Source organism: Homo sapiens, chromosome 5 (assembly GCF_000001405.40).
Source record: "Homo sapiens chromosome 5, GRCh38.p14 Primary Assembly".
NCBI lineage: Eukaryota > Metazoa > Chordata > Mammalia > Primates > Hominidae > Homo > Homo sapiens.
In genome coordinates, this window is record NC_000005.10 from 110,436,445 (window position 1) to 110,458,851 (window position 22,407).

Sequence of the window (22,407 nt, forward strand, 5' to 3'; positions counted from 1 at the left end):
AAGTTTTTAAACTTTATATGATCCCATTTGTCCACATTTCCTTTGGTTGCCTGTGCTTGTGAAGTATCACTCAATAAATTTTTCCCTAGACCAATGTACTGGAGAGTTTCCTCAATGTTTTCTGTTAGTAATTTCATAGTTTGAGGTACTAGACTTAAGTCTTTAATCCATTTTGATTTGATTTTTGCATAAGGCAAGAGATAGGGATCAAGTTTCATTCTTCTGTATATGGATATCCAGTTTTCCCAGCACCATTTATTGAAGAGAGTGTCTTTTCCCCCAACGTATTCCTGGCATCTTTATTGAAAATGAGTTCACTGTAGCTATGTGGATTTGTTTCTGGGCTCTCTACTCTGTTCCATTGGTCTGTTTGTTTTTATGACAGTACCATGCTTTTTTGGTTACTATAGCTCTGTAGTATAATTTGAAGTCAGGTAATGTTATTCCTCGAGTTTTGTTCCTTTTGCTCAGGATGGCTTTGGCTATTCTGGGACTTTGTGATTCTATATAAACTTTAGAATTTTTTTTCATATTTCTGTGAAGAATGTCATTGGTATACTCATAGGGATTGCACTGATCTGTAGACTGCTTTGGGTAGTATGGATGTTTTAACAATATTAATTCTTCCAATCCATGAACATGAAATATCTTTTCATTTTTTGTGTCTTTTTCAATTTCTTTCATCAGTGTTTTATAGTGTTCATTGCAGAAATCTTTTACTTCTTTGGTTAATTCCTATGTATTTAATTTTATTTGTAGCTATTATTAATGGGATTGCTTTATTGATATATTTTTCAGATTGTTCATTGCTGGCATATAGAAATGCAGTATACCCATGTAACAAGCCTCCACATGTAATCTAAATCTGGATCTAAAACAAAATTATAGAAAAAAACATACAGTGTAATTTTATTTATAAATATTCAAAACAATATAAAAAATACAATTTTAAAGATGCATATATTTATGAAAGGCTATAAAGAAAAGCAACAAAATGAATTAAACATTTCAAGATAGTTGTTCCTTCTGTAAGGAAGGGAGAGCCAAGTGATTAGGGAAGGATATGAAAAGAGTTTCCAGTTTCAGTAATACTTATTTCTTAATCTGAGTGGTGAGAACTTTGGTGCTAGTTTTATTATATTATTATCATTACTACTAGTACATGCATATTATATACTTCATATATATTACACAGTTAACAATTAAAAAGAAAAACATAGGTAAGAAGCATATTTTAGTATGAATTAAATGTTATGAAGCACCAGTTTTCCTTCTATAATAACTGCATAATTACCAAGAACAAGAGCTACAAAGGCACTTTTGTATAGGTAATTTGATGAATACGAAGAATAAGATCTTTAAGTGTAAAATACAGTTATGACAAAATCCAATCAGGCTGGCCATATATTGGGCTTGCTTCTTGTACCTAGATAGGGCCAATATTAATTGCCTAAGGAATATCTCAGGTGCTATTACTCAAACTATCCCAAAGAATTTAATAAACTATCTACTAAGAGGCTGGTAGTCCTGAAGGTTTTCAGTGGATAAGGTAGCATCTCTGTTTAGCCAGGCAGCAGTACTATCTGAAGCTACTGTGTGGCCCCATCCCCAGGCTTTCTAACATTTCTTGTATTAAGGTTTCCGGCCTCACAGGCTGGGGACACCAAGGAACTTGATCTCACCTCAGTGTGCCTCAAGGCAGAGGTCTGTTTTTTTCCCTTTTGGGCATTCAGTATTTTGAGTAAATTCAACTCCAAACCTGCTTTCTCATCTTCCCTTTTCTTAGGCTTTTTTTCTCCTATACCAACTGGGTTTGACACTACATCATATTCCTCTGCCTTCCTTCAGCTTGGTCAGGTTTGGGCTGTGTCTGCTCAGAAATATAGAGGGGCAAAACCTACCTGTGGCTTTAAGGCCTAACTTGGCTCTGCCTCTCCAGGTCCCAGCGAAGGGCCACTTAAATTACCTCTCCATTCTCATGATCTGAGTGCAGAGATTACTAACAAATTGTGATGCTTTTTTTCATTAAGAAAATAGATTTGCCCTCCACTTAACATTGTTCATCTAATGTCACGCTACTTTCTATAAGGTTCTTTTATTTTCTATATTATTTATCCATATTTTACTAGGGTGGTAAGGGAAAAGAAAAACAACCCCTTTCCTATCATGCATTTACTTTCCGCAAGCAGAATTTGCAGAAACCAAGACCAGAAGTCAGAATTCAAACGGACCAGAACTATTCCAAGGCTTTCAAAGTCCCTGAATATGTCGTCAGTTCCTCCCCTACAACTCAGTTCAAAAACGACAGTTTATCATTAACAAAATTAGATCTGAAGTAGAGCCATCTAATTCTTCGGTAGTATTTCTCCCAATTCCATTTCATTTCAGTATTCTTAGAAACCATGGATCATCCTGGAAACTAAAAGTTTTCAAATCCTTAGAGACTCATTTAACTATAACTTTCACACTCAGAACTCCACCTGGTCAGATGTATTCTCTTATGCATCTTAAAGCAGGAGGTTAAAAAATAGATAATTTTCTGGGCACATAAATAAGATATTTTTATCTCAATTGAATAATTCTGATTTTCTGTTTTGGAGGACTGATTGGTACAAGTAATAAGTCATACCTGACTATAGTTCAAACATTAGATTTACTGTCTTTAACCCTCATTAGCTTGCCCAAATCACAAAGCCTCAAGATTACAGCTGCCTATAAAGCACAAGATTTAAAGCACAAATATTTACAAGAAAGTTATACAAAGTTAAAAAAAATCTAACACTGAAACAGTTTCCTTGGCTACTTTTTAAAGGGAAGTTAGTAAAGAACTTGCTCTCAACTTGACTATTATTTTTGCCATTACCTACTCCCACATTAAAAATATATTGTAACTATTTAATTAATCTCGTTTTATAGTTCCTTGTATTTTAAAACATTCTAGAGATGCAGTCTGCTCACTGAGAGTTAAAATATTGTTCTGATGTCACCCCTCCAACATCTACAGCCTGGGCAATTATCCCATTTCTGCTTGGCATGAAGAACTGCCAGTCAAGGGCAGGCTCCAGGGTCCTTGGGCTTCTGCCATTCCTAGTGATCCCATCCCAAGGGGCTCTGTCTCAGACACTAGCTTCTACAGTTTCAGTCTCGCTTTTCCTTGCCAGCCTGTCTTTTGATCTGGTGGTTTCCATATACAGTTCCTGTTGGAAAGTTTCAGGTGTCGCTTTCAGATTGTATAGAGACTGGCAAAGCAACTAAGAAACTCAAAAAGTCAAGACTTTTTGCATTTTAATTCTTTTTCAATTCACGGAGTCAAAATACCCAGTGGCTATGTTCCACCGAAGCAATTCCTGCCCCATTCGCAGACACAGAATTTTATAGTCCTGGGCCAAGAATGATCTGCTGTCACCCTAGCATTACAGAATCATTGTCTACTGCAGTTTATCTAAAATTCTCTATATTAACCTATAAATTAGGATCAACGTCTTTTCATCAATGCCATAGCAGATATTAATCTGTGTGGTTATCACAACAGGACTGTGATGTGACTGATGTAAAAGACATGCCAAATGACACAGTAAAATTTTGTTATGCAAATGGTTTCACAAAGTAGGAGAAAACATAATGTGCCCCCAGGCAGAGGATTGGCTCCAGAATACCTCAGAAATAAATCTGGAAAGATGAGTAGGAGTTAGTATAAAGCTAGTGGGAATAATGATGCATATGACTTAAGTGAGTAGATGTATCAAAGTGTCCTTTAAGAGATAAGGTTGGTGGAGAACAAGTGTAACTTCTATTTTTAATATGTTGCTTAAGTGTCTTCTTACACCAATTGAAACTGGTTGCTCCCTAAGCCTGCTGTGTTGCCATTCTGCTGGAAATACTCCGTTCTCACCTCTGTTCTCTGTTAGGATCACTGCTTTCTGTACGCCACTATGTTCTTTTTCCTTGATTTATCCCCTTCATCTGGGGGCATATATTCTTAAGAAGCTTCTTAAGACATGGTGAATAGACAGTACACAATCTGAAACCTTTTGATATTTGAAATGATATTTCAAATATGGAAAGATATTTGAAAATGTCTTTATTCTACCCTCATATTTGATAGATTGGGGGCAGACATATATTCAAGTATCATTTGTTATCTCAACTCTTACTACTCAATTTGAAGAAGAGAATAGATTCTGAAAAAAATTTTTGTATGAAATGTTTTCTATTTTCCAAATGCTATGAACCAAATATATTTGAAGAACTAGGCATATTTATAATTCTATAGTGGATGTTACTTTTCCTCAGTGTATTGAGGCAACCTACGCACTATCTTCTTGCCTCTGGTGCTGCTTTTGAGTCCAATGCCATCCTGATTTTCAGGCGTGTATAGTTTCATCCACTTATTTATTGCTAATTTTCTCAACAGACAAATGCTGAAATCTCAACAAAGCATATGTTTGCTTCTTGCTCACATGTCCGATGCAGTTCAATAGAAGCTTGCCTCCATCTGATGACCTAGGAATCTAGGCTCTTTCCATGTTTTAATACTGCCATCTCAACATGTGGCTTTCAAGGTCATTTTGACTGAGGAAGGAAGATGTGGAGAAGACTCAGTGGCTCCTAACTGCTTTGACGCAGGTATGTCACTTCTGTTCATGGTTCTTGCCAAAAAATGCAAGTCTCTGGATCCAGGGTTTCTGGATCTTGACCATATTGATATTTGGGCTTAGATACTGCTTTGCTGTGGGGGTTGTCCTGTACCTTGTGAGACATTTAGCAATAGCTCTGGCCTCTGCCCACTAGATGTCAGTAACATCCCCTACTATGATAATCGAAGATTTCTATTGACAAGGTCCCTTGAGAGACAAAATTACCCATGGTTGAGAAGCACTACCCTAACATAATTGCAAGGAAATCTTCCAGGAAAAGTTAAGAAACACATGAAATGTTATATGATTGCTAATGTTCTCTGTCTCAGGAAGTTTCAAGTTTCCTTTTTCCTAGTTCTTCCATGTTCACAGTGAAGTGCGGGGAGACAGATTTCCATGATGGCACCAATAATCCCTGCCTCCTAGAACTCATGCCCTTGTGTAAGTCCTTTTCCCTGAGTATGGGCTGGCCTAAGGACTTGCTTCTAACCTAATTGTTAGAAGACTACAGACTATGACAAAGATGATGATATAGCGTTTCTATAATTGTGACTTCTGTCTTACTAGCTAACTCTTAATTCTTGGCTTTTATGCTGTGATAAATTGAGTTGCCTTACTGGAGAAGCCTACAAGCAATGGAATGAGGATGGACTTTGGCTAACAGCCAGAGAGGTGCTAAGGTTCTCAGTCTAACAGTTTACAAATAACTAAATTTATAACTAACTAAATAACCACCCCAGTTTTACTGGGATGGTCCTCATTTTTCCTCCATGTTTGAAGGATATTTTCACTAGATATACTATTCTAGAGTAAAAGGTTATTATTAGTTTTTTTTTTCCTTTAGCACTTTAAACATGTCATGCCACTCTCTCCTGGCCTGTAAGGTTTCCACTGAAAAGTCTGTTGCCAGAGGTATTGGAGCTCCATGTATGTGGCTTCTTCTCTCCTGCTGCTTTTAGGACACTTTCATTATCCTTGACCTTCAGGAGTTTGTTTATTAAATGCCTTGAGGAAGTCTTCTTTGGGTTAAATCTCTTGGTGCTCTATTACCTTCTTTTACTTGAATGTTGATATCTTCTCTAGGTTTGGGAAGTTCTATGATATATCTCTTTGAATATACTTTCTACCCCTATCTCTTTTTCTACTTTCTCTTTAAGGCCAATAACTCTTAGATTTCCCCTTTCGAGGTTATTTTCTACATCTTGTAGGTAGATACTCATTCCCTTTTATTCTTTTTTTCTTTCATATCCTCTCATCACTGATTTTCAAATAGTCTGTTTTCAAGCTCACTAATTCTTTCTTCTGCTTGATCAGTTCTGCTATTAAGAGACTCTGATGCATTCTTCAGTATGTGAATTGATCAACTCCAGAATCTCTGCTTGATTTAAAAAAATAATTTCAATCTTTTTGTTAAACTTATCTGATAGAATTCTGAATTCCTTCTCTGTGTTATCTTGAATTTCTTTGAGTTCCTCAGCACAGCTATTTTTAGTTCTCTGTCTGAAAGGTCACATACCTCTGTTTCTTCAGAATTTGTCCTTGGTAACTTATTTAGTTTGTTTGCTGAAGTCACAGTTTCCTGGATGGTCTTTATGCTTGTAGATGTTCACTGGTGTCTGGGCATTGAAAAGTTGGGTATTTATTGTATTCTTCACAGTCTGGGCTTTCTTGTGGTCATCCTTCTGGAGAAGGCTTTCCAGGTATTCAAAGGGATTTGAATCCCAAGCCCAATAGCACTGTGATTTTTCTAGACCTGTAAAAGCACCTCCTTGATTGTCTTAGATAAAATCCAGATGACCTCTGGATTACCAGCCTGATTCTTGTCTTTTCTCCTTACTTTCTTCCCAACAAATGGAGGCTCTCTCTCTGTGCTAAGGCACCTGGAACCAGGGGTGTGGTAATATAGGCACCCTTGTGTTCACCACCACTGGGACTATGCTGGGTCAACCTGATGTCAGCACAGCACTGGGTCCCACCCAAGGCATACTGTAACCGCTGCCTGGCTACCACCTATGTTCATTCAAGGCCGTGGGGCTCTATGATCAGCAAGTGGTAATGTCAGCCAGGTTTGTGTCCTTCCCTTCAGGACATTGTGCTCCCCCCGCTCCTGGGAAGGTCCAGAGATGCTCTCTGGAAGCCAGGGATTGCAGCAAAAAACCTTAGAAGTTTACCGATGTTCTATTCTACTGTGGCCAAGCTGGCACTCAAACTACAATGCAAAATCCTTCCTGTTCTTTCCCTCTCTTTCCACAGGCTTAGGAGCCTCTCCTTGTGGCCACTAATACCACTGGCCCATGGGGAATTCTGCCAGGCCACCACTGATGTTGATGTAAAGACCAAGGGCTTTTCAGTCAGCTTGTGGTGAATTATCCCACGCCTAGGACTCACCTCTCAGTGCAGTATTGGGCTCCCCTCTGGCCCAGGACAAGCCCATAAATGCTGTCCAATAGCCTAGGTCTGGACTTGGGGACACCAAGAGCCTGTTTGTTACTCTACACCACTGTTGCCAAGCTGGTACCTAAGGTGCAAAACAAAGTCCTCATCACCTTTCCCTCTGCTTTTCTCAAACAGAAGGAGTCTTTCAGCATAGCCACCACAGCTGGGAGTGTTCTGGGTCACATCTGAAGTCAACTTATCTCAGAGCCAACAGCCTACGGCGTACTACCTGGATATCACTACTGGTTATTCAGGCCCCAATGGCTCTTTAGTAAGCAGGTGATTAATCCTGCCAGGACTGGGTCCTTCCTTTCAAGGCAGTGGAGTGACTTTTGGCCAAGGATGTGTGTAGAAATGTCATCATGGGCTAGGGCCTCGAATGGGAGTCTCATGACTCTGCCCAGTACCCTGTGCTACTGTGGCTGAGCTGGTATGCAAGATGCTAGACAAATTCCTCTTTACTTATTGCTCTCTTCTTCTTAAATAGAAGGAAGGAATTGCTTTTGTTTGAGAGATGTGCTGCCTGGGGTTGGGGAAGGGGTGATGCAAGCACTCCCTTCGCTGCCCTGGCTGGTATCTCCTTAGGTCATGTGCCACCCTAGTTCACTGGCTCTGAGCCTAGCCCAGAACAAGGAGATACCTAGGAATTGTAGTCCTTGTGTCCTAGACTGCCTTTCAAGTTTACCTCGGACCCTAGAGCACTTCAGCCCCTGATGACAAGGTTTGTTCTTACCTCTGAGATGAGTGATTTCCCTTTGGCTAGGGCTGATCCAAATTCTCCTTCCCTGTGTGGGCGCTGGCTGAGTATGACTTTGCTCTCCACTGTGACAGGGCTGCACCGAGTTCAACCTAAAGTCCCCCAGTCACTGAGCTCTCCCTCCCCCAAGTGCACAGACTCTGTACCATGTAGCCACAGCTGGGGGGTTGGGAAGGGATGCTGTCAGCAATTCAAGACTGTCTCTCCTGCCTTCTTTAATGCCTCTTTCAGTGACAGGAATTTAAAATCAAGTACTATGGTTCTTGTGATGATGCTTTTCCGTGACAGTTGTTTAACTTTGGTGTTCCTGTGGGGGATGGTGAACAGTGTAGGCTTCTATTCTGCCATCTTGCTCTACCCCTTAAATGTTGTTTTTAGTTGCCACGTTTTGTGGTCATTTGTTACATAGCATTGGATAACTAATACAAAGTGCCTTATAGTTGGTCTTTTAAAATTTATTTTTGAGCACAATTTGGACCATTTAAATGTGTAAATTTGTATTTAGTTCTTCAAATTAGAAAATAAATTAATTGATAAGTAAGCCTCTTTGCTTCTTATTTTTTCTGAAATTCCCTTAATTCTAATGTAGATGTCTGGACTATACCTCTCATTTTGTTATCTTCTTTTTCCCATTTTCCTCCTCTTTGTCTTTATTTTACTTGCTGGGAAATTTCTTCAATTTTATCTTCTAAACCTTCTGCTGAATTTTCAACTTCCACTATTGTGTTTTTAATGTCTAGGAACTCTTTCTTTCTTATTCATATACTATTCTTTTCTATAGCCCTCATTTTCCATGGCTGAAAAATTTTTCATTTATTTCTTAGAAAATAATAATTTTAGAGTTTTTTTGGACATTTTTTTCTTCTTTTTCTGCACTGTTTCAAAATTTTCTGATTGCCTTCTACATTTTATTCATTTGGATCCCTGTCTATTATGTTGGAGTCTTTTGTTTTTCAAATATTTGATGAGTCTTATCTCTCTATTAATATTTTAACAGCTTTGTTGAGCTCTAATTAACACATAATAAATTACATATGTTTAAAATATATAACTTAATATTTATGACATATATATGCCTATGAAGCCATTATTACATTCAAGGAAATGAACATAACCATCACATTCCCCACAACCCCACCAAATTTTCCTCATGCTCTTTTTCTCAGTTATTTATGTTTAAGAACAAAATAATACAAAGTCAATTGGAGTCTATGGGTTTCTGGGGCATGTTGAATAATGGCCTTCGTCAGGAGTGGCTGGGTAGTGACTATATTAGTTATATATTGCTGCATAACAAATTACCCCATAATTAACAACTTAAAACAAAAAACATTTACCATTTCAGGTTTTTGGGCCATGGTCTCTGGCACAGGGTCTCTCCAAAGGTTGAAGTCAGGATGTTGTCAGAGGCTTCGGACACATCAAAGTTCAACTATGGGAAGAGTCACTTACAAGCTAATTCACATGATTATTGACATGCCTCATGTTTTTGCTGGCTGGCGATCAAAGACATGACTTTTTTTGCCATTTGAGCTTCTCATCAGAGCAGCTCAACATGACAATTGGTTTATTTCAGAGGAGTGAGTGAATGAGAAAGTTAAAGTCCCTAAGAGAGAAATTACAATCTTTTTGCAACCTAGCTTTGGAAGTGGTATCTCATCACTTCTGCCATATTCTATTCATTAGAAATGAATCACTAAGTCCAGGTCACATTCAAAGAAAGAGATTACACAGGAACAGAGATATCAGAGGCTAGGATCACCGGAGGCCATCTTAGAGGCTGCCTTCCATAGGGGTGAAGCCATTTCCTTGGCAGAACTCTCTAATGTCAGTATCTATAGGCCTTTTTTCTTGTCCAGGACAAAGACATCAGAGAATCTCCTGCCTGGGATGTGTCACTGGCCTCTGACCTTTAAGGAGAGTAGGGCAGGAGTGAATGTGGAAGTGACAGAGACACAGAGTAGGGGCTCTGAATCTGAGTGTTCCATATGAAGTCTTTACCTTCATTCAGTACAACATACTTGCTGTCTTTGAAGGTTTTTAAGTAGTAAAATGAAATGATCAGAATTCTGTTTCAAAATTATTCTGACAGCTGTGCAGATTAAACAAGAAATACTTAGAGATATTGGACCATTTCTGGACCTACTGGAATAGAATGGTGGCAGCGATTATGAAAGATTGGAAGAGTTGCCTTACCAGAGAAGCAATTGCTTGCCATAGCAACTATACAGATTTGGGGTTGGGGAAACAGGGGTATATAAGAGACCACATTCTTTTTCCTCTGTTTTCAGCCTCTGAGTGACTCCACTGTTGCTAGTTAGAAGATATAATGGTGTAAGACTTTAGGCTTCAGTCTAAACCACTAAGAATCCCTAAATGTTAATATCCCACCACTGTTTTATTCCATAAGTTCTTAACTGTGAAGTCTTGACAGGCTGGCTTACTTCCATAATTGTGAGGTACATTAGAAATTATTTATTGCTAATAATAGATAGGGACAAAGTCTGGAGAATATTCATTCTTTTGAAATCTGCTATGTTGGGTTTGCTGCATCCCTATAATAGCACTCTCATTCTCATTCATTTAAATATGGTTAAGGATCCTGAAAAAATTCTGGGTATAACCCAGAATCTATATGTTCTATGTGGTGATCTTTAGTAACCTGAGTCAGTAAAGCTAGAGTTTAAAATGGAATTGAGGACCCTCGTACTCTTTAAATAAAAATAGGTGAAAATGCTCATATGAAAGCAGGCAGACCTCCCTCTGTAACTGTGCTCCCAAAGTGAGACAGGCACCAGGAACATAGGTACTAATTTTGCCATATATACACATATATATGCATAAATAAATATATATATACACATACATATATATGTGTATATATATATATTTATAATTAGCTTTTGCAGGTCACACAAAATGATTTTAAAAGGAAATCAAAGAAAGTTGATTGGTAGACATTATATTGCCTCTTAGAACAAATGAATTTCTACTGAGGGGAAGAGGGAATAGAAACCCGTCTCCTTACATTCCTGCACAGCCACATTGCATAAAAGCCTACCAGAGACTAGGAATCAGGTTAGGCACTGTGGTTATCACTGTGCCACCTAGCTGCACATCTAAGTAGGGGCTTCGACTAGTACACAAATGTATAGAGAGGGACACGAGCACAATTTGTAAATCTTATCTGTTGACAAATGCCAGTCCTATATAGAGATCTTTTCAATACACGGCAAGTAGAAGAAAACCTACAAATAACTTCTAAATTATTGCAAGGCAAGAATGATACATCATTCCATATATCCAGAAGAAAATAAACTTTTAAAAATTATTTGCTGCAGGAACTGGAAAGAAGGTACAGAAAATTACTTGGTATACACAAAAGGATATATGTTATAATATTTATAAAATAGGGGCTGAAAGTCGCAAGAATAGAAAAGTCAGAGGAAAAAAAGATTTGAAATGAAGAAGCATGGCAGAAGTGAAAGTATCATAGTAAAAGCAGTTAAAGACAAACAGAAAACACATTATAAAACATAAATCAGTGATATGGATTGCCAATTCAAGATAATCTCCAAAGCTCAGAGGAAATTGTAAAGTGAAAACGAAGAGAGGGGAGATTAAAATTGAATAAAAAGATGTTATTAAATCCAGTAATTATGAATTTAAAACCCTCAAAAATTGTCATTGAAGAAGTATTCAAAGATACCACAGAAAACTTATAGAGCTGAAAAATGACTTGAATATGTATATTGAAATGACTTACTATACCAGTTCAAAAAACTGAATACTAAAGAAAAAATAAACTATAAGAACAAAAGCAATATTCTACAAATATTGGGACAGAAAAATGAGCAAATATTAGTTTATGTATATAAAGAGAAGTAAAATCTGCCTTAGATCTCTCCCTTGCAGTATAAAATCATGAAATAATTAATTTTTGCTCCCAAGAAATTTTAGATTTTCAAGAACTTAGAATAAATTACCCTCCTTATACTTTGCATAAGTACTTAAACTAAGAGATTAAGAATGGAGGTAACTCAAAGTTTAATACTACTTTTAACCAAAAAAGAGAATGAGAATAACAAAGAGTAATAGTAGTGGCAGAAAGCCATTAGACCTTAAACCCTTTAAGAGCAACAATCTGTTATGTCGTTCTAGAAACTAACACCTAGCCAATAGTTCTACAAAGACTAGCAGTGAACACTCAATTACATTAAACATAAATTTCAGTCTAAATGATTGTTTTAAATTTGGTTACAAAATTGAATAAAAACAGAATGTTGCTTAAAGAGAAAATAACAAATGCTTAACATAATTTAATAATATTAATATGGGTCTTAACATATATATTATAGTTTTAAAATACGAGAAGATGAAGTGAAAAAGAAGTAAAAATGTGGTACATTCCCCCTCTCACATGGAATGAGGAAAGTATCAAAAGGAGGAAGGGATGCAAAATACATATTTTATTATTGACTTTTGAAAACTTTTGACATAGAAGGGTTTTCTTTGAGAAATGTAAATATAATCATAAGAATTAAAAACAGAATATATGAGCTCCAAATCACTGGGGTACATCAAAATAAGAAAAACTCTTTTAAGTAGAGAAAATACACAGTAAAAACAAGACATAATACAAAACAAAAAGATGGAACACAAGACATATAAAGTGTGACTAAAACTGTCATGAAGTCCATAGAAGGCAAAGGAAAAACTAAAGTAAAATTAAAGCAAATCAAAGTAATATTATGTAGCTTACATGAGACTGTTGAAACAAAATGATATTAAAAAAGGAAATGAAAATGATTGTTAGGAAACTCCAAAAATTAAACTATCAAGAGTTGCAATTCTATTTTCAGACAAAGTGGAATTTAAGGCAAAATCATCAAACAGTTAAAAGAGGGTAATTTTATATTGAAAAATGGTATCTGTTAACAAATCATACATTCTTCATTGACTTTTTAAAATACACACCTAGAATGACATGAAGGAAATATGCCAAATTAACAATGATCTTAAGATGGATTATAGACAATGTGTACTTTCATGGTACATGCTGTTACATATTCATACCCATAACGATTCGGAAAGAAAAAAAGGTGAATGAATGAAAGAAAACCATCTATGAATAAAAGAAACATATACCATAATTCTGAAATAAAATGGTTGCTTTTTAGCTCTTAAAGTTTCTGTATCAGCTGTCCAATCATCCCTTTAAAAGAATTCCTTCTCTATTTGCTGAGACTTTTTTTTTTTCCAGTATATTCTTTCTTGTAATTATGTGGCTTTATTTACTACCTTTCTTTAACCTGATTCTACCTTCACAATTACTTTCTGGACATCTCTACACAAGTGTCTTAGTGACACTAAAAACTCAGTGTATCTAAAACTGAAGTAATTTGGTTTCATTAGTCATTAATTAAATTAATAACTATGGAGCACCTACTGTATACTCGGTTCTGTATCAGATTGTGGAGCTACAAAGCAGATGCATGCCTTCCAAAAGCTTAGAATCTAATGGCTTCTTCTAAAATTTGTTCTTTTTCCTTTTTCTCTATTTTGGTAAAAGCACTATGAACCTCTGAATTACCTAGGCTCAACATCTCTGACATTTATTTATTTATCATGATTATTGATACAGCTTGGCTCTGTGTCCCCACTCAGATCTCATGTTAAATTGTAACTCCCAATGTTGGGTGAGGGACGTGGAGGGAGGTGATTGGATCATGTCGCATATTTCCCCCTTGTTATTGTGATAGTGAGTTCTCATGAAATCTGATGGTTAAAAGTGTGTGGCACTTCCCTCTTTCCTCTCTGTCTCCTGCTGCCATGTGAAAACGTGCTTGCTGCCCCTTCACACTTCCACCATAATCATAAGTTTCCTGAGGCCTCACAGCCATACTTCCTGTATAGTCTGTGGAACTGTGAGTCAATTAATCCTCTGAATAAAATACTCAGTCTCAGGTAGTTCTTTATAACAGTGTGAGAATGGACTAATGCAATTATTTTTTAGCTCTTCTCCGTCTCTTGCTTTTCACATCCAAATAGCTGCCTGGAGCTGTTTTTTCAGATTTTGCCTGTTTGTTTGTTTTCTTTTCTTTTCATCTCTACTACCTACTGTCCAGGTTTCATCTCTCTCACCTGTACTTTTGAAATATAACCTCCTAAATTATCTCATTATCTTCAAATCTCCATTTTTTTTCAATCTTATTAACTATTGCGAGTTAATTCATGTCAAAATAGAGCCCCTGGATTCACTCTCCCTGTTGCAGGTTTAGCACGAATGCAGGTAAACTGTGGAAATTAATCAAAATATTTAACAACTGAAGGACATGAATCAAAACAGGTGTCAGGCAGATTCTAATGAATCAGAACAGAGGCTGGATGTAAACAGCCACATACAACTGTACCAGTGCTTTCCAGCACTCCTGGATGTACCCACCCCCACTCCACAGTTAGATGTGTTCTTGGGGCAGAGATTGCAATGAGTTAATCAGAATCTTTATTGTGTCTTTCCTGGACACAAAGCTGGGAAACTTTTCTAGTTCTACTAGTTCTCATCAAAAGAGTTAAGTGTGAAACTTCTGAGTTAAGTTAGTTAGGCATGTATACCTCACCCAGGGAAAAGACTTCGAAGGCCAAGAGGACAGTGGAACTACTCTAGGCCTTCCAAGAGGACAGTGGAGCTACTGTCCTCTAGGTCCTCCAAGGAAAGATCCTGGGTCACTAAGAAAAGAACCTGGGTGACTAAATGACCACATGGTAGGTCATCTCAGAAGGAATACCGCATTTGGCTGTGATGGAACACAAAATAAATGCTTATTGTATCAAGACACTGCTAGTTTAGGACTTACTTGTTTCTGGAGCTACTATTACCTTGATATATCATCTTCTCTGTTTCCTCAGCACCCTGTATCCAACTGTGTTACAGAAGCAATTGGCATGTAATTCATATTTTGTTTGTGCATCTATCTCTTTCTTTAAATCCCAAATTCCTTGAGAGCAAGAATATTTTCTTTTATCTCCAGAACCTAGAATATATGCCTGAAACTAAATACTCCCTGAAAATATGCCTTTTAGATGTTGCTGTTTTTAATGAATCCTGTTATTCTAGGAAATATTTCAACAGCTCTAAAACTTTGATGGCATCTCTTTGCTTAAAAAAGAAAAGCTCAAAGTCTTAGGTTGGTTTGCAAGAGTCATCATTGTCCTGTGAGTCTTCCTATTTCACTTCAACTTTTACATTTAATGCCTTAATCTTCTAGTCATTGTTTTTATAACATTTCCACAATCTTTTGCTTTAATGATTTTGTTTATACTATTCCTATTAATAGAATGATTTTTTAATGTTTTCATGTTCAAAACCTATTTTCCCCTTAAAGTTTAACTTAGGTGCCTTGCTATCAATTAAACATTTACTAATTTCTTCCAGCAAGAAGCTTTCTTTCTCTCTAAAAACTCTTATAGCCCTTTACTTTTCTTGTAGCATTTATTATTTATTAGTATCATAGGTAGTTATGAACATCACTTATTATACATTTGGTATTTCACAAGCTCAATAAATTTAATATATTTTAAGTATGATATCTTTTTTAAATACAAGAAGAAATATAACTATTTTCTTATAGTTCACCAATTTATTTAACAGAAAATCTGTTTAAAAACAAGTGCTAAGATATTGAGAGAAGTTTCAGCTACTATTTTTGTTGACTAGCTAAATAGCTCAACATATTCTAGCAAAGAAAACCACCATAGACCCTTATTCAGTTTAGAATGTTTTTCCCATCTTACTTCTAAAGTAAAGCTGGCTACAGAATCTTGACTTTAAAAGATGCAATCTTTACAACTGTAGTAGAGTAACAATTGTTCATCTTGCCCCAAAAATATTCCATGTCCATAAAATAAATACAAAATGTTATATAAATTGATTTTATAGTAAACAGATAATAAAATAATAATTATATATTGGGTGGGTAAAATGTATTTTGTATACAGACAACTGATACGATTTTTGTCTACCTGGTTGGTTAATCCGTTTCAGTGTTTTAGTTTTACCTCAATACTCCTCTCAATTTTGATCAGAAAAACACAGTACAATTTTATTTGAAGAATCCATCCAGATCATTTAAATTTCTTTGGGATTGATTTTGTAGCATGTGAAGAACAGGTCGTTTGTTCTGTGTGCACAAAGAAAAACCCTGAATTGATTTAAAATGAACCAGGTCAGTGTAGATCAATTTAGGCAATGATGACCCATGAGGAGATGCAAATTAGGATTCTCCTGCTGAGACCAAAAATAGATTTCATCAAATTATCTCTGAGCAGATTCTTAAAATGTGTCTAAAAAAAGACAGCCATAAAAATTTCAGTATTCCTATAGCAATATGAATGAGAAGAAATAGAAGAGTCAGGGATAAAGGATATTTCAACAAAATAATTTCTTAATGTATAGCCTAGTGTTTTTATTATCCACATTAGTGAGTTTAGAAGTAAAGACATTATTGGAAGAACAAATAAAAGGGCAGACTACTAATGACTTTATGCCAAACGTGTTTGTCATTCATGATTCCTCTTACATAAGTAATGAAAGGTAGGGTTTAGTTCCTATTACAATGTAAAAGTACTGTGCATTAATGTGTGCACGTACTCCTTACAATGTGTGAGGTGCTTAACAGAACGCTTCTGATTGAAGTACCTGGAAAACTAAGAAATCATAGCTAATTCATGAAGCAACTGCACCAAAAACTGGAGCTATTAGTAGCTTTATCTGAGAGTTACATTGTTATAACAGTGACAGTGATACCAGGAAGATAATTGCTATTCCTTGTTAACAGTTTCATCTTAGAAAGAGAATGTTTATCTTAGAAAGAAAATGACTTTATAACTTATTTTTGGCCCAATTTGCTGCAGCACAATTACTCGTTCCCTGTAATCTGTTACCAAAGAGAAGTGAATTCTCCATTCTGAGAACCTCAGATACAAGATATCTGACTTTAAATTTCTACCGCATACTTTTTTAAATTTTATTTTATTTTATTTTTTTGAGATGGAGTCTCACTCCATCGCCAGGCTGGAGTGCAGTGGTGCAATCTTGGCTCACTGCAACCTCTGACTCCCTGGTTCAAGTGATTTTCTCACCTCAGCCTCCTAAGTAGCTGGGATTACAGGCATGCTCCACCACGTCCAGCTAATTTTTGTATTTTTAGTAGAGATGGAGTTTCACCACATTGGCCAGGATGGTCTTGATCTCCTGGACCTCATGATCCGCCTGCCTCTGCCATGCAAAGTGCTGGGATTACAGGCGTGAGCCACGTATACCTTTAAAACTTGATAGTACGGTGCTTATTCAGAGCAAATTTATCAGCAGATGTATTTTAGTTTGGGTGGAACCAGAGATTACCCAGTGTACGAATTTTAGCCCTGACTATGCTGCAGACTACTTTGGTATAAACCTTGGTTACCTCATCTGAGTTGTCATCTTAGTCAGTCTGCTGAGTTCTTTTACTATTTCACTTATTAAAAACTAAGGTTCAGTTTTAATTCCAGGAGCAAAAAAAAAAAAAGACCAATGTTATAAGACATCAGCACCACAGGCAGTGTGATATAGACAAGGAATATTACCAGGGCTAAAAAAGAACATTACAATGTGATTAATAAAAAAAATCAATTCACTAAGAAAAGAAAAACATTCTAAGTGTGTGTGAACCTAAAAACTCTTTTTGATAATACATAAAGCAAAAAATAATGTAACTGAATAAAGAAATAGACAAATCTGTAATTATACTTGGGTAGTTCAACAATCCTCTCTTGGCAATTAATATAACAGACAGAAAATCAATAAGGATATAGAAGCCTGAATCAATACTATCCACCAACTTTATGTAATTAACATGTATAGAATATTCTAACAACAGCAGAATACAAACTATTTTCAAGTACACATAAAATATCCACCAAGTTAGACAATTTTCTGGCCATAAATCAAATCATAACAAATTTAAACAAATAAAAAAATCACACCAAGTGAATTATAAGACCATAAAAAAATATTAAACTAAAGAAAAGTAAGTCAGGGACAGTGGCATCTCCCAGGCTACTGATGAGGCTGAGGCAGGAGGAATTTTGGAGCCTAGGAGTTCTGGGCAATAGTGCACTATAATTGCACCTGTGAATAGCCACTGCACTCCAGCCTGGGCAACATAGCAAGACTCTGTCTCTAAGGAAAAAAAAAAGTAACAGAAAGATATATGGAAAATGACTAAATATTTGGAAGTAAACAAAACACTTCTAAATAACCTATGAGTCAAAGAGGAAATCACAGGAAATCACATGAAAAATTAGAAAATATTTTAAATTAAAAGAAAATGAAAGCACTGACAAAATTTGGGAGATGCAGTTAAAGCAATACTTAGAGGAAAATGTATAAAGGAAGGTGTGTAACATTAAATGTTTATATTAGAAAAAAAACCTCTTGAATCAGTGAACTAAGCCTCCACTTTAAGAAACTGGTAAAGAAAAGCAAATTAAACCCTTAGAAGGAAAGGGAGGTATAATAGATAAGAGGTGCATTAATCAATGAAAGTGAAAAAAACAATAGAGTAATTGAAAACCAAATCCTTGTTCTTCGTAAAGATTAAAAAAAAAAAAGATAAACCTCTAGCCAGACCTACCAACCAAAAACAGGGAGACAATACAAATTATCAATATTAAAATGAAAGACAGAACTTAGACATGAAAATCATCATAATAAAATATTACAAACAATTAGATGCAATGGGCAAATTCCTTGAAAGGTATAAACTATAAACTACCAAAGTTTACTCAAGAAGAAATGGATAGCATGATTACTTTGATATATGTTAAAGGAACTCAATTCATAGTTAAATCCTTCCAAGAAAAAAAATGCCAAGCACAATGAATATAACAATTAATTCTTCCACACTTTTAAGAAAGATATAATGCCAATTTTACAAAATCTCCATGAAAGTAACATTTCGCAATTCATCTCATGAGGCCAGTGCTGCCCTGATATTAAAACAAACAAAAAAGGATGTTACAGGAAAAACCTAGTGAACAATATTTCTCATGAAAGTAGATATAAACTTTTTTTTTTTTTTTGAGATGGAGTCTTGCTGTGTTGCCCAGGCTGGAGTGCAGTGGCGCAATCTCGGCTCACTGCAAGCTCCACCTCTTGCGTTCAAGCCATTCTCCTGCCTCAGCCTCCCGAGTAGCTGGGACTACAGGCGCCCGCCACCACGCCCGGCTAATTTTTTTGTATTTTTAATAAAGACAGGGTTTCACCGTGTTAGCCAGGATGGTCTCAATCTCCTGACCTCGTTATCCACCCGCCTCAGCCTCCCAAAATGCTGGGATTACAGGCATAAGCCACCGCACCCGGCCCATGTAGATATAAACTTTTAAACAAAATGAGAGCAAATCGAATCTACTAATATATTAACACAAAAAGGATAACAAATTATGAGCAAGTGGGGTTCATCCCAAGACTGCAAGGCTCTTTCAACATTGAAAAAATCAATCATAATTAACCACATCACTAAAAAAGAAAAACCGTTATAGGTCTCTTTCAACAGATGAAAAACAAGCTTTTAATAAAATTCAATATTCATTCATAATAAAAACTCTTTGAAAATGAAGAATAGAAGAAAACTTCCTCAACCTGATAAAAGGGATCTATGAAAATCTACAGCTTCCATTCTACATAATGATGAAAGCAGAATGCTTTGCCTCTAAGATCAGGAACAGTGCAAGGATGTTTGCTCTCAGCACTTCTATTTAACATTAATAAAAATTGTCTTTATTTGAAGTTCATAGGTTTATCTTTTAAAAATCATTTGAAATCCATAAAAGAAGAATCTACAGAAGAATAATCTACAAAATGAGGTTAGTTAGGTACATTAGAACTAGTGAGTTTAGCAAGGTTTAGTGATAAAAGGCCAGTATACAAAAACCAATTGTAATTCTATACACTAGCATTTAATAATTAGAAATTACAATAAAAAGATATACAACAACAAAAACATAAAATATGTTACATATAAATCTGAAAAATATGAAGAATCTATATGCAACAAAGTAAAAAAATTGATAAAAGAAATCAAAACAGATCTAAATAAAAGAGGTGTACAGTGTTCATGAATTGAAGGAGTAAATATTGTGAAGATGTCAATACTTTTTAAACTAATATAGAGATGCAATAATCACAATCAAAATCTTGAAGGATTTTATATAGTAATAGATAAACTGATTATAGAACTTGCTTGGAGAAGCAAAATAACTAGAATAACAAAAGCAATCTTAAAAAATAAAAATACTATCTGGTTTCAAGCCTAAAGAGCTACAAAAAGTCAGAGAGTGTGGTATTGACCTCAAGACAGACAATTAGATCAATGGAACAGAAAAAGATTTGAGAAACATACCTGCACATACACAGTCAACTGCATTTTGACAAGGTTCAAATGCAATTACAATGGATAAAGAATGATCTCTTAAAACAAATGGTGCTGGGACAATTGGACTCCCATATGTAAAGAAAAAAAGAGGAACTTTGACACATACCTTCCATGAGATTAAAAAAGTAACTAAAACTAGATCATAGACTTAAATAAAACCCCAAAATTATAAAACTTCTACAAGGAAATGGAATAAAATTCTTTTTGGGTTAGGCAAGATTTCTTAGTTACTATACGAAAAGCATGACTTATTACATTTTTAAAAATTAATAAATTGGACTTCATCAAGAATAAAAACTTTTCCTCTGTGAAATATAATGCTAAGAGACTATAAAGACATACCACAGATAAGAATATTTACAAAACAAATCTCTGACAAAGGATTTATATTCACTATGCAAGAAAAAACACCTATTAAATCACATTAACTTAATAAAAAGCTAGATAAAAGTGAACAAATGATTTCACAAAAGAAGATACCTGAATAAAGATGTATGGATGCTGAGTACAAGAGAATTTGTTCTACATAATTAGTCATTCAGTAAAGATTTAAAACCACAATGAGATACCACTGCAAACCTATAAGAATGGCTACAGTTAACAAACAACCAAAATACTGACAATACCAAGTGCTGAAAACTAGAACTCTCTTATGTTTATGATGGGAAAGCAAATGTTACAGCAACTTTAGAAAACAGTTTGGTTATTTTTTATACACATACTTACCATATAATCTAGAATTTCACGCCTCGGTATTTAGCCAGGTGAAATAAAAATCTGTTTGTTCAAAAACTTTTACATAAATGTTTATAGTGATATATATGGTCATCAAAAAAAACTGGAAATCAAATGTCCTTGAATTGATGTATGAATAAAAACCTAGTATATCTATATAATTAAATCTGCAATATAAAGGAATTTACACTAATTGCATTATTACCAATATGTACAAAAACATATTGGATGAATCTCAGATGCATTATGCTAAGAGAAGGAAGTCACCTAAGAAAGAATGTAGGTGCTATAAGATAAAATGGAATGCAAATAAGATTTTCTGATGGAAATGTTGGTATATATTAGAAGGAATTATTCCAACTTTTAATAAACATGCCTACAAATATCATAGATAATAATATATGATGTATATTCATGTATATGTAATGTAATATAGTATCTTTATCATAAACCCCTTAAGGATAGAAATTGTGTTTTTCCACCAATACTTATAATGTATTTAATTAAAAAGTTTTTTCATCAATTATATATTTAAGATCCTATGCACATTTAAGTGCTTTACTTTTGTTACTTTTATTTCATCTCAAATTAATCTTTCAACTGTTAATTTTGTTCATTAACTACATGAACAAAAATTGAATACCAAAACTGTGGTATTCAATTTTGGAAATTTTGGCTGCAGGCTAATTTTAAGTTGATATTTTTGTTTCTTCCCTCTCTTCTCTACCCCTCACTTGTTGTCCTCCTTCTTCCTTTGCGCAATTTTCTCTTTGTCTTTGTTTTGTCATCTTTTTTTTGTTTTTTTTTCAGGTTGTCTCCAGTGCTCTAGTACAAAACAAGATCATATGTTGGCTTTGAGGAGCTCCTGATCTTTATTTCTATGAGGATACTGCTAATTAACAATCTGGCAGGGGGCTTAACTCAGTTACTAGTTTAGGGATTTCTATCTGTGTTCTCTGAATTTTCCAGGAGTGCAGCCTGACACAAGGCATAGGCCCTGGCAGCATGAATAGTAGCTGTCTAGTAGCTAAGGCCCCTCTGCAGGAGAGATGGGTGCTGGCTGAAACTACGGCACTAAGCCTAGCTATAATCTAGGGTGCATTTATTCCCTGATACCTCTCCTAGCAACTAATCTCATGGAAGTCTCTACCTGCTTTTAACCACTCAGTTGAAATCCATTCATTAATTTCCATTTATTTTATGGTGTTTATATATGGATGTACTTTTATTAGTTTTTAAGACTATATATTTTTAAGCTTAAAAAATATTTTTATATTCCCTCTATGTGTTTGGAGCAGTTAAGGGAGTTGAAATGCTCAGGGGATGAAATAATGAGTTTATTGTTTTTGCTTGGTTGGATGCCGTTGCA

The 22,407-nt window shown here is 35.4% G+C and overlaps 1 protein-coding gene across 16 annotated transcripts in view; it reads right to left on the reverse strand.

Annotated features, from left to right (window-relative positions):
- TMEM232 (transmembrane protein 232) overlaps positions 1–22,407 on the reverse strand; it is a 351,524-nt gene that overhangs the window by 49,014 nt on the left and 280,103 nt on the right. Inside the window, exon 16 of one of the 16 annotated variants that reach the window (XM_011543559.3) lies at positions 1–22,407. This exon is cut by the window's right edge and continues 18,467 nt beyond it. The exons of the other annotated variants lie outside the window; for them this stretch is intronic. The gene's annotated coding sequence lies outside the window, so the exon portion shown is untranslated. 16 annotated transcript variants of the gene reach the window in all.